The sequence below is a fragment of the Homo sapiens genome, chromosome 14 (genome assembly GCF_000001405.40).
Source record: "Homo sapiens chromosome 14, GRCh38.p14 Primary Assembly".
Taxonomy (NCBI): Eukaryota; Metazoa; Chordata; class Mammalia; order Primates; family Hominidae; genus Homo; species Homo sapiens.
The window spans coordinates 71,564,754-71,580,585 of NC_000014.9; the positions used below are offsets into that span (position 1 = coordinate 71,564,754).

Sequence of the window (15,832 nt, forward strand, 5' to 3'; positions counted from 1 at the left end):
GCTGGGATTGGAGGAGTGAGCCACCACGCCCGGCCATCCTTGGCATTTTCTTTCTTCTTTCTTTAGCTCTTTCTCCGCTTAGTGTAGCTGTCAACTTAATAGTAAAATAAGTACTAGTTACTTTCACAGGTTCTTATCGTTACTTTTCCATACTTTAATTCCTCACTTAAAGGTATGTTTTTGGTCTTTTCTCTTCATCCAGTGAACCATGCCTGCTGTTTCTGTCCCTATAAAGAGTACTTGGTTTCACACGATCAGATTGACAAAAATTTTAAGTTGGTGAGAATGTGGAATAGAAAAGTGTGTCCTCTTCTGAAGAACATTGGCTCTTTTCTATTTGTTAATATTTTCTTCTTTTGGAGTTTGTATTTGGAAATTCTCATTTTTATCCTAGTGTCTTGTTTTTCATGTTTATCCTAATGTCTTCCATTCACATGATCTCTCCAACAATTTTCCCTTCATTCTGTTGATCAATTTTTGTCTGTCTTATATAACACAACCTTTTCAGTTGGGTCAGGTGTTGTTTTTGTTGGTTTTCTTCTTAGTAATTTGCTAGGCTCTGGAGACCTTGTCTTACAGGAGACTTTTTTGAAGTTATTTTCCTTATGTGCTCTTAATTGCAGAGATACTGAATTTGGTTTTGGGAAGGGGTTTGGTAGGCCTGCCTAGAGATTTTACCGAAGGTTCCACCTTCCATGAATTTTGTAATCAAGCAAAAATTAATTGCATTTCAAGAATAATTTTGAAAGTATAATATCTTTTCCACACTAAAGTCATGCAGTAAGAAATATAATAATATAATCTGTAACAAACTCCTTGCCATGTCCTTTAGTGAAGGTGGTGGATTATATGCAATAGTCATTTGGGTTGTCAAATCCTGTATCATTGCATAAATAAATATCCACATATGGTAAGATTTACTCCTCCTTTAAATATTCTGGCCATGTTTTTATAACTTTCTTACTGATCTCTCATTACTTTTAATAAAAATTATGGGGTGTATGTAATTTCCTGTGTATTACTTCCAAAGTAATTACAGTTTTTGGAAAACTCCTTTATAGAAAATATTTATAAAAAAAATCCTTCCAAAAAATTAACTTTCTATTTTTCCATATTCCTCTGAAGTCCTTGTGCTTTTGCATATATAAATATGTGTTCACAGAGTAGAATGTAATATATTTATTTTTAAATTTAACATTATATCTTAAATTTAGGCCATGTTAACTACTAGCCAACTCAATAAGACAACAAAAGAAAAACATTGTCATTTTGAAAATGACATGAGTGTCTAACTAGGGAAATTAAAGAGAATCATCAAAATATTAACTCTAATAAGACTTCAGTAAGATTACTAGATATGAAGTAAATAAACAAAAAAACCCAATAGTTTTGTAGTACACCAGTAACGGTATATTAGAAAATATGATCACATGAATGATCTTAGTCACAAAATAAAATAATTTACTTTATAATAACCTAGCAGAAGATATGTAATGGCCTTATGAATTAAAAGTTATTAAAGCAGATCTAAATAAATAGGAGCTGTATATGTTACTGAGTGGGAAGTCTCAATATTAAAAATAATTTAAAGTTCCCTAAACTAATTTATAAATTTGTGCAATTCAAAAACGAAACAGCAGAACCAAGAGTGTTTGGCATGAAACTTGACAGAGTGATTCTAAAATTAGCCGAGGAAGTAGAATTAATGGGGTTAGCAGGATGTATTATAATGCTGTGGCATTTGAATTGGTGTGGCATTAGCACACGGAGAGAGAAATGCACCATCAAAACAGAAGAGAGACCACAAAAAGAGACCTCCACATGCACGGGAACTTGTTTTTGACATTGTATACAAGTCAGTAATTCAAAAGTATTGATGGCTATTTAAGAAGTAGTGGTGGGACAGTATGATAAAAATATATTCCTGTAAATTCTAGATGAATTAAAGCCATTTAATCCTATTTTAAAGGAACATTTCTAAACTTTTAGAAGAAAATATGGGAAGACATCTGTATGATATTGGTGATTGGGAGGCCTTTAGAGCAAAACACCCAATTACAAATCTTACCATGTTAAAATTTTCAAATACAGATATATAAAAAATACACTTTAAACAAAAGCCAACACAAGGTACAGACTCTGCGAATAAAGTCAGACGTATATGTCTAATGAAGGGTTAATATCCATAGTATATAAAGGAATTCTACCTTATCAGTAACAGTGAAGAAAAAGACCTATTAGAAAAATGGACAGAACATAAGTGGGTAAGATCAGTAAACAAATTAAAATTCTCTAATTATCAGGGAAAGCCTAATGAAAGCAACAAGATAACACTTTATATTCTTATATTAGTCATAATTTAAAAGCAAAGCTGTGGCAGCAAGCAGGGCCCCCCACACATTACTATGAGTTGTAAAATTGTTACAACTTTGGAGTGAAGTTTGACTTTCTCTAAGGATGTTGAAAGATGCTCCAACTTAAACTTTCAGCAGTTCCCATTCTAGAGCTCTCTAGAGAGACTTTTGCATGTTTCTAAAGAAGATGTGAAAGGAAGGTTCCTCCTATCATTGTTTTTAATAGCAAAAAATTGGAAATCTAGACATCAGTCAACAAATTCTGGTGTATGCAAAAAATGGAAAAACAGAAGCCGTTTATAAAGGATCTATAACTTTTTGTAGCAACGTGGAGAAATCTTGATAGTAATTTTTTTTTTTAAAGTGAGGGAAAGTTTATGTAGAAAGTAAAGGAATAAAAGAATGGCTACTCCATAGGCAGAGCAGCAGCATGGGCTGCTCAATGGAGCAAACTTATAGTTATTTCTTGATTATATACTAAACAAGGGTCAGATTATTCATGAGTTTTCTGGGAATGAGGTGGACAATTTCCAGAACTGAGGGTACCTCCCCTTTTTAGACCATATAGGGCAACTTCCAGATGTTGCCATGGCATTTGTAAACTGCAGTAGTGCTGGAGGAATAAAAGAATGGCTACTCCATAGGCAGAGCAGCAGCATGGGCTGCTCAATGGAGCAAACTTATAGTTATTTCTTGATTATATACTAAACAAGGGTCAGATTATTCATGAGTTTTCTGGGAATGAGGTGGACAATTTCCAGAACTGAGGGTTCCTCCCCTTTTTAGACCATATAGGACAACTTCCAGATGTTGCCATGGCATTTGTAAACTGCAGTAGTGCTGGTGGGAATGTCTTTTAGCATGCTAATGTATTATAATTAGCGTATAACGAGCAGTGAAGACAACCAGAGGTCACTTTGATTGCCATCTTGGTTTTGGTGGGGTTTGGCTGGCTTCTTTATCACAACCTGTTTTATCAGCAAGGTCTTAAAGACTTGTATCTTGTGCTGACCTCCCATCTCATCTTGTGACTTAGAATGCCTAACCTCCTGGAAATGCAGCCCATAGGTGTCAGTCTCATTTTACCCAGCCTCTATACAAGATGGAGTCGCTCAGGTTTGAACACCTCTGACATATTTCTCTCCTCCCTTTTACAAGGGAACCCTTAATCCTAAGGGTTGTAGAGGGACAAAAATCCATCTTTTGTAACTTCTTCAGGCCGAATAGGTGTGATGATATTCTTGCCAAACTGTTAGGGTGTCTTGTATCCAGGGAATAGAGGAGCTCAGTCAGAAAGCATCAGTATGGTGAGGGCCATTCACAAGCCTGAGTTCTGACAAAAGGTGGTATCCAGAGTTGACCAATTGGTGTTGCACTGTTTCCTCTGGGTCAGAGGTCTCCTTAGCATAGTTCCTCCTTGGTTCGCTAGGAAGATGTTACTGGAAAGAGGTCCCAATCCAGACCCCAAGAGAGGGTCCTTGGATCTTGTGCAAGAAAGAATTCGAGGTGAATCCGTAAAGTGAGAGCAAGTTTATTAAGCAAGTAAAGGAATGAAAGAGGAATGGCTGCTCCATAGACAGAGAAGCCAAATCCTGATAATAATTTTGTGTGAAAAAAGAAAGTTGCAAAAGGATACATTCCAAATGATACCATCTATATAAATTTCATAAACACACAGTACTATTATGGGTCCATTTCCGTTTTGTAAAAGTTTAACAAAATGTGTGTCGGAAGAATGCATACTGTCCTTAGGAAGACAGTTCCTCTGGAGAGGCCAGGAGAAGCATGGGATGGGAAGTTGATATTTTAGCTATATTCATAATGTTTCTTTCCTTTTTGATGTGCAGCAAACTTGACAGATTAATAGTTATTAAATCTGGATGGCTGGTATGTTTTTGCATATGTCAAATATTTTATAATCAATAGTTTTCAGTTTTATCGTGTAGCAGTTTCCAGTTAAATACGTTGCATTGAACATGTGTAGTTATTTACTTTCCCTCATCAAGCCCTATGCCAGTGTTACTCAAGGAATATAAAAAAAATGTATGAAGACAGGTAAGGGGGAAAGACATAGGAGCAGATTTGAATGATCAACACCATTTTTGTCACCAGAGAGAGGGGCATGAATTTTAATTTAACTAATTTAGTGACGTGAAAAGAGTGTCTTGAATGGCTTTACTGAGGGATTCCAAAAAATGTTGACTCTCTGCAACCCCAGGATTGGAGGGTCCCAAGTAGCTGGGAGGATTGCACTAAGGGGTGGAATTAGTTTTAAGTAGATACTTGGGGTCCTTTCCCTAACCATAGTGTAATTATAGAGGCTCTGGAAATAGGAATTATTTGAAACCTTTGTTGCTGAGATTTGTTCCCAGGATGCTGGCAGTCAGACGGGAAGTGGAACCATTCTTCTTCAGAGACACTGAAATGTATCCTAGAAATGAACTACAAATATGGCATTTGTGGGTCCCCCAGTATAGAAGGGGAAACCCTCTGTCTGATTTAAGAAGGAATGGAATTTATGGTAATAATATTTAGTAGCTTGTAGAATCACTGGAAAGGCTGTAGAACTGGGTTCGAAAAATAGGAAAAACAAGGGAGGCCAGGTAGCCAAGACAACACTCGTTCCCACAAGTAGGCTGGTGTGGTGTTGCCCATGAACACTGGATGTCTGGCTTGACATTGCCACTGTCAGTACTTGCCTGAGGTTGTCAGTGTGCAGCATTGGCACTGCTTCTGCCACCACCTTCCATGTAAATGGATTCGCCTCTTTCCTGCTTTCTTTAGACACTACTGTTGATTCAGAGTCCAGGACATGCATGTCTCATTGGCTGAGGGGCTGACTGTGTGTCTGCACCCTGTCTGTAAGAACGGCTATGTTAAGTAACATTGTGGCATTTTTAGCTTCTACTATGGAAGGCAGATTTTGTATAACGAAAGGAGAGGTGATTCCCTGGATGTAGATACAAAGTTTAGAGGATAAGCAGATGTTAGGAAGTCATAGTGTTTTCCCCTCTATCCAGTTTCCCCAGGTAAACCAACTAGATCTCTACTTAGTCCCTTTCATGAAGTCTACTTAGTAGTCAACAAGCCGTGCCTCACACAGAGCTTCAGTCTACTATTTTTTTTCTTTTTTCTTTTTTAAAATCCATTTATCTTTATTTATTTATTTATTTATTTATTTTTGAGATGAGGTCTCACTCTGTCACACAAGTTGGAGTGTAGTGGCATGATCTCGGTTCACTGCAACCTCCACCTCACAGCCTAAAGCAGTCCTCACACCTCAGCCTCTCAGGTAGCTGCGACCACAGGTGAACGCCACTACACCTGGCTAAAGTTTTGTAGTGATAGAGTTCTGCCATGTTGCCTAGGCTGGTCTTGAACTCCTGAGCTCAAGAGATTCAGCCACCTTGGCCTCTCAAAGAGCTGGGATTACAGGTGTGAGCCACTGTGCTTGGCCCAGTCTGCTATTTTAATGCCTCAATTTTAAATACAAAAGGATAGCCAGTTATAGCAGACATATTAGCAAAACTTAGCATGTAAAAGACAGTGATGAAAACAAAACAGAAGAAAAGTAAATTTGGGGAATATAAGATACTGAAGATGAAATGGAAACATAAAAAATTAGTTTATTAGAAGGACGAGAGAAAATACTGCATTCATGAAACAAGAATAGAATGATTTTTTATTTTATTTTTTTGAGATGGAGTCTCGCTCTATCACCCAGGCTGGGGTGCAGTGGCACCATCTCGGCTCACTGTAACCTCTGCCTCCTGGGTTCAAGCAATTCTCCCTGTCTCAGCCACCTGTAATCCCAAGTAGCTGGGATTACAGGTGCGCACCACCACACCCAGCCAATTTTTGTATTTTAGTAGAGGCGGGGTTTCACCCTGTTGGCCAGGCTGGTCTCGAACTCCTGACCTCAGGTGACCCAGCTGTCTTGGCCTTCCAAAGTGCTGGGATTATAGGCATGGGGCACTGCACCTGGCCAGAATGATTTTTTTAAACGGAAGAAACAGAGAACACAAAATTTCTTCAAAATTGAGCCCAAGAATCAATGTGAAAGATTAAATAATCTGGTTGGAAAACGATGTTTTAAAAAGTCTCTCAAATACCTAAGAGAAAAAGATAAAGAAATGGAGGGTGCAGGAGAAAAAAATAAGAAAGTGTTCAGGTGGCCCAGTGTCCAATGAATAGAACATTTACAGAATGAAAGAACAAAGAATGGGAAGGAAAAGGAATTAATCAAAGAGTAATAAAATAAAATTTTACTCAACTGAAAGTTGTGAAGGTCCACTGAGTGTCCAGTACAAGGACCATAAAAAGAACAACACAAAGACTACTCCAGTATTAAACAGATGATCCTAAAAAAAATCCAGAAAAGAGCATATAACATAAAAAAAACTGGAATCAGACTATTTTGGGCTGCTCAGTTCCAACAGTAAAAGCTAGAAGTTAATGAAATAATACCTTTGTCTTAGTCCATTTTCTGTTGCTTACAACAGAATACCTGAAACTGGATGGTTTATTTATTTATTTATTTATTTATTTATTTGAGATGGAGTCTTGCTCTGTCACCCAGGCTGGAGTGCAGTGGCACAATCTCGGCTCACTACAAGCTCCGCCTCCCGGGTTCACACCATTCTCCTGCCTCAGCCTCCGGAGTAGCTGGGACTACAGGCGCCTGCCACCATGCCTGGCTCATTTTTTTTTTTTTTTTTGTATTTTTAGTAGAGATGGGGTTTCACCGTGTTAGCCAGGATGGTCTTGATCTCCTGACCTCATGATCCGCTCGCTTCAGCCTCCCAAAGTGCTGGGATTACAGGCGTGAGCCACCGTGCCTGGCCTGGATAGTTTATTTTTAAAAAGAATTTATTTCACACAGATGGAGGCTGAGATGTCCAAGGTCCAGCTGCTGCTGGTGGGGACTCTGCAGCATCCCGAGAAGGCGATGGAGGGCATCACATGCTGAGGGGCTGAGCCTCCTAACTTGCTAGCTCAGGTCTCTCTTCCTCTTCTTATAAAGCTACCAGTTCTACTCCCATGATAGCCCATTAATCCATTAACCCATTAATCTGTGACTGGATTAAGCATTCACAAGGACAGCTCTCATAATTCACTCACCTCTTAAAGGCCTCTCCTCTCAATACTGCCACACTGGGGATTAAGTTTCAACATGAGTGTTGGAGGGTACAAATATTCGGACCATAGCAACCTTGAAAATTCTAATGGCAAATGTTTTACTACCTGTCATTTTATGCCCAGCCAACCATCAGTCAGTTTAAAGCTAGGCATGCTAAGACTCAAAGCTTTTACCACCCATGCACCCCTTCTTAGGCAGTTACTAAATGAAGAAGGTAGTGGTCCATCCAGGTGAGGGAGTGAATTAAGAAAAGAAGAAATGAAATCTGGGAGACGTGGGATCCATCCAGGAGAGAAAGAAAGGAACTGTCAGGATGGTGATTGGTGGGATGTTCCCCAGAATACCTCTTCAGGAGACCTAGAGATCAGCAGCTAGATTGGGGCATGAGAAGAGCCCTAGGAGAGAGTTCTTCAGGGAAGAGAAATGGAATTGATAGGAATCTGTTGTTTTTGACTGTGTGGAAAGAATAACAAGATTTTTTTGCTTCTTATGTTGTATGTAGGAAAAATTAAGCGTAGGTATATAGAAATAAAGCAAATGAAAATAAATGAAACTGTTACTAAGTTCGGGAAAAGTAAAGTAAGCAACTGAGCAAATATAGCCGTAGTAACGTAAATCCTAATATATATAGCTATGTGATATAACTAATATACACACATGTGAACATAAATAGGTACATAGAATGGGGTAAGGAAATGGGAGAGACACTTAATGGAAGCATGCTGATTTCTCATCTTCCACAACAGGACTTCAACATTTACTACGTAAGATTGACAAATTAAAAAGTAGCAATATGAGCGTGTTATTTAGGAATAAGGAAATAGTGAGGGAAACAGTGCTATGTATTGAAAGTGGCTGTGGCTGTTCTTGGGACTGAAGAAGATGGAGTCAAGCAGTATCGGTTTCCCCCACTTTATATGCCTGTGGTACTATTTGCCTTTAACTACTATGTATATTACTTTGATAAAAACATAAACGAATTAAAAATAAAATAGCATTGCAGTAAGTATCTTTGGACAATTATTACAGATTGTAAAATCACGTCTCAGTGTTTGTTTTACCACCTATTTTCCTATTCAAATGTGGTTGACATTTATGATTAAGCCTCTGCTAAGGACTAAGTATCCTAAAATCAAATAAGATGCAGTTCCTGGCCTGAAGCACTTACATTTCAGTGGGTGGCGCATCAGAAAACTGAGCATTCACAGTGTGTCCTGTTTGATTGTCTTTTGGGAACCAAGGATGTGGAGAAAGTTTGGGACCTCAAGAGAAAGAGTGGATGTCTACAGCTGCACAAGGAAGGGCAAACCAGCAGAGCTCCTGGGACCTGCTGAAGGAGGAAAGATGCCCGAGAGCTGGGCAGAGGAAAATCCCTCCTGCTTTCAACAACTATGCATTTCCAAATGTCGAAAGAGAGATTGCAGAGCTCAACAACATGAATATTTTCTGGCTTACCTGCCAATGGTTTTTTTCTCCCCCTAAAATGAAACAATATCCATTATCTCTAGCGACATGTCTATTTTAACTTTGTCACTGTTAACAGTGGTTACTGGTATTCCAGTACTTTTTCCTAATGTGTATAGTGTTGTTTTGATTTGTATGCCTTTGATGCTTATTATACTCAGAACAGTAGATGGGCCTTTTCTTGTGCTTGTGTTCTGTCAAAGAATTTTTCTTAGTTCAACATATTCTTTCTTTAAAACTTGTTTTAACTGCAGTGATGCCAGAAAGTTTCAAAAAGACAGTTCCTCACTTTTTCTTGGCAGCAGTTCTGGTGTTAGAAGGTAATAACACATAGTGAAATCATGATTTATTTAAAGTAGAAATTTTGATTTCTACAACAAAAATCTTGATTTTTAACCACCATAAATTTCCTGTAGTAATCCCAAGGGATGCTGTAAAAAGAATAAGGTGGGGTAGGGGTGGGAGTGGAAGGGGTGGACAACTTCCTGAAAGAGAACATACCCCAGTGCAATCTTGAAGGAGGAGTAAGAGTTAGAGGAGTAAAGGGTGGATAAGAATAAAACAGGAGGAGGAAGGAAGAGAATTGAATGGAGTTGTGTTCCAGCAAAAGTTACCACTTGGCTTCACCTGAAGTCTCACGAGAACCCGGTGCATTCAAGAAATTTTAACTGGTTTCCTTTCCCTTTGACTGGAGCTCAGGGTTCAGGGAGCATGGTGGGAAGAGTGTGGAGAGATTGGGCTGTTAATTAGGGAGATTTATCTTGCACTTAGGAAATTCTGACATTGCAAAAACAGAGAGGCTATCTCCTTGAGGATTTAAGCGAAGGAGGCTAAGACTCGTGCTAATATGCACCTTATAAACAGTCTTGAATAGGCAAAGTGATCAGTTTTTAAAATAAGCATTATTGCAGACACACAAGACTATGTTTTAAGATCAAACTTACATTCTAGTTAGAGGATTTATTTTACTTTGTCACAAAAATGAAAAGGTTGGCAAAAAAAAAAAAAGACTTCCTGCCACAAGGTTTTATCTTTGAACACTTTATTGGTTTGCGTTTTGATTAATTTTTTTTCTAGTTAATAAGAGTTTAAATGATCAAGTTAATACATTTGTGAGGAAAATCTCACTTAGAAATCAGAGATTTTTAAGTTTAGGGGATTAGATTAAAAATAATTTTATTTGAAAGTTAGGCATAAAATGTATGTATATTTGCATATGTGCATAGTTTTTAAAAAAAACTGGAAGGATGTGGTATGCATTAAAGAAAGATACTTTGTTTGCTCCTGCTTTCATTTCTGTTGACAAGTTGCCAGAATTATTTGTATAGGGCCTCTATTTTCGGAACCATGATATAAATAAAGGATTCAAAATGTTTCCAATATGAAGCATTTCATCCAGCATTTTTACATCAGCTTTGAATGGGAGGAGGTCCTTTGCTGCTTGTGAGCATAAGTGGATTCTTTGGCTCTTAATCATCCACCCCTTTGCCTTTCTTTTTCTGGCTCTGTAAATACTTAAGTTGCTGCGGAACTGACTGTCCCTTGCACTGGATCCTTTCTCTCCTCTGCCCTTATCATTCAGTGTCTTACTGTCTGTGCCCCCAGCCCACACACAGTGCCTGGAAGAATATGTATACTATGATGAGTGACTATCATTGGGCTTGGGATTGGGACATGTAGAAGAAGACGTATACTTTTCACTTTTTCTGTACTATTTCAATTATTAAAATTTTCAGTAAGCATATAACCGGGTTCAAAAATGACTGAAAAGGGGCAAAGGAGAGACTTGTGTGGGGAGAAAAATTATTTGAGGGTAAAAGATAAAAATTATTTTGACCATCATTAATTTGATGGTAATTGTTTTAAATTTCTGGTTTTAGTTGTCTCTCCCTTTAATGCTGTATTAACCACACTGCCTTCCATTGTCCTGTGAGAATATGTTTATTTGCTGGGATTTTAAATAGTCGATTCTATTGTGGATTAGTTTATCTTTTAGTTACTTCATTGTGACAGTGTTTTATCCAGTTCTGTGTCACTTCTTGTTAATCTTTTAATAGATTTGCTCCTTTTTATGCCTGTTTTTCATGCTCCTTTGATGAGTGGATTGGGGTGAGAAGGTCAAACCCACTATTTTTTATTCATTACTGTTGTGAAGGCTCTTCAAGAGAGAAAGATGAAGCTGAAACCTTTATTAAATTTTGCTAATGTGGACTTGTTTTTGGCATTTCTCCGTCAACACAGATATGTGTGAAATAACCATGATTACGTTTTAGATTACAATAGAAGTTCTGATAATTTATCAGTTAATTTCCATTCTATTTTAGCTGAAAGCACGTAACTTTTATTTCTAGTGATTACATTTCAAGGGTACTAAGCTTAGGTGCTTTCAGGATAAGGATTGGACAGATCTTTTCCTCAAGAGCCTGAAAGTCTCACTGGGGAGAGAAGGCTGAACCACAGGTAGACTGAATCTTGAAATTTCAGTAAGTAGCAGAAAGGGAAGCATTTTTAGAAAGGAGGGTGCCCTGGTACAAGGAACATGGCTTAGGGATCAGACTCTCGAGCAGTGACCCAGTCTCGTCTAAGCTGCTGGGTCTTCATGTACAAACTGCAGTAGATAATAGCTCTTTAAAGATTGCTTTAGCGAGTTAGTGAGATAATGAGCAGTGCCTGATGCATACATAACTGGTTACAATGGATGGAAACAGATTATTGAACAAGCATGCTCTGAAAGGACAGCATGGTGCAACAGGCAGGGTAAGAGTAGGGGAATGAGGAAATCTGGATGTAAACCTGGACTTGACACTTGCTATTTAATCCTAGGTGGACTTACAGTTTCTGGCTACTACTGGTGGAAAATGATGGGCTCAGACAAGGTATTCTTTATAATTTACAGTTTTAAATTGTCAATATTGAATTCTTCATGCAGGCTGAGTCACTTGGTAGAGCTTTATGAAGAGGGCACAGTGGTTTGTTTAGGGCAAGCCTGTTTCCTTCTGTTAATATAAGAAGGAAACAGTTTGTGGGCAGGTGCCAGTTACTCTTGAATTCCAGGCCTAAAATCCAGGCCTAAATAAGAAAATAATGGCAGGGGCCAGGTGCAGTAGCTCATGCCTGTAATCCCAGACTTTGGGAAGCCGAGGCAGCTGGATCACGAGGTCAGGAGTTTGAGACCAGCCTGGCCAACATGGTGAAACCCCGTCTCTATTAAAAATATAAAAATTAGCCAGGTGTGGTGGCGGGCACCTGCAGTCCCAGCCACTCGGGTGGCTGAGGCAGGAGAATCGCTTGAACCTGGGAGGCAGAGGTTGCAGTGAGCTGAGATCATGCTATTGCACTCCAGCCTGGGTGACAGAGCAAAAAAAAAAAAAAAAGAAGAAAAAGAAAATAATGGCATGGCAGTTGAGGAGCCACTGAAGGTTCTCAAAGTGACATGACTACCATAGCATTTTTAAAAAGTTAAAGTTAATTATCAATAAATACTTTTTCTCTCACTGTATCCATATCCACAGGATATAGAAATTCATGCCTGCGCTGGACTGCAGAAGTGGTACACAGGCTATAAGGGAGCCTTTTTTCTTTTATATTTTCAAAGTAGTTTTTCTACCATAAATTTTGTAACCACTAGCCCAGTATTGAGAGAGAGCCTGCTATATAGTGAGCACTTATTTTTTTTTTTTTTTGGAGACAAATCTCACTCCGTTGCCCAGGCTGGAGTTCAGTGGTGCAATCTCAGCTTACTGCAACCTCCGCCTCCCATGTTCAAATGATTCTCCTGCCTCAACCTCCCAAGTAGCTGGGATTACAGGCACATAGCACCACACCCAGCTAATTTTTGTATTCTTTTAGTAGAGGTGGGGTTTCACCATGTTGGCCAGGCTGGTCTTGAACTCCTGATCTCAGGTGATCCGCCTGCCTTGGCCTCCCAAAGTGCTGGGATTACAGGTGTGAGCCATTGCGCCCAGCTGCACTTTGTGTTATACACAATTTGCTTAACTTTATGGCTTGTTGGGCATGCCTTTTTTTTTTTTTTTTTTTTTGAAACGGTCTTGCTCTGTCACCCAAGCTGGAGTGCAGTGGTCCGATGGCAGCTAATTCCAGCCCCAAACCTCTGAGCTCAAGCAGCCCTGCCACCTCAGCCTCCTGAATAGCTGGGACCACAGGCACACACCACCACGCCTGGCTAATTTTTTTTATTTTTTATTTTTTCTTTCTCCGATACAGAGTCTTGCTCTGGCACCCAGGCTGGAGTGCAGTGGTGCGATCTCGCCTCACTGCAGCCTCTGCTGCCCGGATTCATCCAGTTCTCCTACCTCAGCCTCCCAAGTACCTCGGATTACAGGCACACGCTATCATGCCTGGCTAATTTTTGTAGTTTTAGTAGAGACGGGGTTTCACCATGTGGGCCAGGCTGATCTTGAACTCCTGACCTCATGATCTGCCCACCTTGGCCTCCCAAAGTGCTGGGATTACAGGCGTGAGCCACTGCTCCCGGACTTTTTATTTTTTATTTTTTAGTAGAGACAAGGTCTTGCTTTGTTTGAGGTCTTGCTTTGTTTGAGTCCATGCTGGTCTCAGACTCCTGAGCTCAAGTGATCCTCCCTCCTCAGCCTCCCAAAGTGCTGGGATTACAGTTGTGAGCCGCTGCACCTGGCCTGACCACTCCTTTACCTCTCTATGCTCTTTCTTCATTCGTAAAATGGAGATACAGTTAACCCTTGAATAATGCAGCGATTGTGGCACCAAAACTCCCACCCTGAATGCAGTTGAATATTTGAGTATAACTTTTGATTCCTCCAGAACTTGACTAATAGCCTACTGTTTACCAGGAGCCTTACTGATAACATGAACAGTGAATGAACACATAGTTTGTATGTTACATGTATTATATAGTGTGTTCTTACAGTAAGTAAACTAATGAAGAGAAAATGTTATTAAGAAAATCATCAGGAAGATACATTTGCAGTACTTTACTGTATTTGTCAGTACTGTAAATTTACTTCATCTGTCTGACGTGGCAGGCAACTGCAGCTGCAGACTTCAGTCCATGGTACAGATCAAACAATCCAACTCTTTCTTATAAAATCCTGACTTTGCTTCTTGGGAGCACTTTTACCATCACTAGTGGCACTTCATATGGGTCCCATGGTGTTATTTGGGGTTAACGTATTTTACTAAGCGTGAAAAATACACCAGAACCACGAGAGGTCACTTTTTTACTCTGACATGAAGTTTGTCAGAGAGAGGAACTGCTCACCTGGAGAGGATTAGTTTTTAATCAGAGAATTGTAATACTTGAGCTCACCGCAATAGCAGCAGGATATGGCTATGAAATTATTTTAGGAATACAGTATGTATTACAATTAATTGTATGCAGTTATGATTGAATATTACGTCTTTACATTTGTTTACATTTCTCTCAGCTGCAGACCGCACCGTTTATGATCTTTCTGTGCATAAGTTGTGATACATTTTAGCTCCTTAAGTAGATTTATGTATTTTCTATGGTAGTAAATGATAAAATAGACTAATATCTTACATGTATTTTCTGCATTCATGACATTCCTTACTTTTTACTGATTTTTTTTTCTATATTTCTAGGCTATGTAGTTTTTTCAAATTGTCACAGTTCTCCAAAATATTTTTTAGTGTATTTATTGAAAAAAAATCTACAGATAAGTGGCCTTCCCTGTTCAAACCTGTGTTGTTCAAGGGTCAGCTGTACTCCTGGGGTGCTGGTGAGGACTGAAGGAGAGGAATGAGCATGTGTGAGGAAACGAAATGGGTGACAGAGTCCTGCTGTCTTAGATCCCTTGAGGGAGAGAGGTTATGCTCAGAGATAACGGTACAGTCAGACAGACAGAGGAACCATATGCAGTCTGTATTTAAGGACATGCTAAGGCAATGTGGAGTAATTTTAATGTTTTTCTTTTACGTTCTAGGTTCTTGGGTGGTATTTCAAAATCTGCTAAGGGAAATATGCTTACTGTTGATATCAATCATGATTAATAATAGTTTGGATATTATGTTCACCCATTGTTCTTATGCTCCTTTCTACTTTTTTCCTCAGCTAAATTTAAACGTGTTTTTTCAAGTGCAGTTTCTTAAATTCTTTTTGGAACATAAATATTCAAATAAGAAAACTGCACTATCCTTAATAAAGCCATTTGTGGTGTTCCTTCCTACTGAGCCCCTTCCCGTTTCCTACATACTTGTCTTCTTTTTCCAGTTAGATAATAGAGACTTGAGGATAGAGATGGCGCCCTGTGTCACTGACAGTGACTGTCTCAAATCGCCAATGTTAGCAGCCTGAAAATTTGTCTTAGAGATGCAGATTCTCTGCTGCGTTTTTTACAGAGTTCATTATATGTGGATCAAAGGCAATTTTCATGGCTTATCTAATGTAAATCTGACTTCATCGCTTTCTCTTCTGCCCTCAAAGAAGAAAATCAGTACTACCAGGTTCTTCTTCCCCAGTATGCGATTCCTTGAGCCACTGATACCACGTAGCACTTTAGTAAAGCTCTCCAGGGTGTTGGTGTGAGTCCACATAGAGACATTCTTCAGATTTAGCCTCAATCCTGCAGAAGGAGGACTGTGAAAAGGACAGAATATACGTAGGAAAGTAGATGCTTCCCAGGAAAGGGGAACTAATGATGGCAACCTGTGCTCTGCGTAGGTACCCTCATCTGATTTTCCTAGGTCACTACAGTCTTGGGAGGGGACAAGGTGAAGGCTGCTGGGCACAAGGGAACTTTTATGTCAATATTAAATATAAGGAAAGCATCTGTAAATGAGGAGATATAAGCAATTGTGTTAATCATCTATGTGAAATAATTATTCAAATCCTATAAATACTGCTAATCTTATAATC

At 39.0% G+C, this 15,832-nt stretch overlaps 1 protein-coding gene across 54 annotated transcripts in view; it reads left to right on the plus strand.

Annotated features, from left to right (window-relative positions):
- SIPA1L1 (signal induced proliferation associated 1 like 1) overlaps positions 1–15,832 on the plus strand; it is a 420,734-nt gene that overhangs the window by 244,278 nt on the left and 160,624 nt on the right. For 26 of the 54 annotated variants that reach the window (XM_047431217.1, XM_047431229.1, XM_047431218.1 and 23 more), the window contains one exon: positions 11,782–11,834. The exons of the other annotated variants lie outside the window; for them this stretch is intronic. The gene's annotated coding sequence lies outside the window, so the exon portion shown is untranslated. The remainder of the gene's footprint in view (positions 1–11,781; positions 11,835–15,832) is intronic. 54 annotated transcript variants of the gene reach the window in all.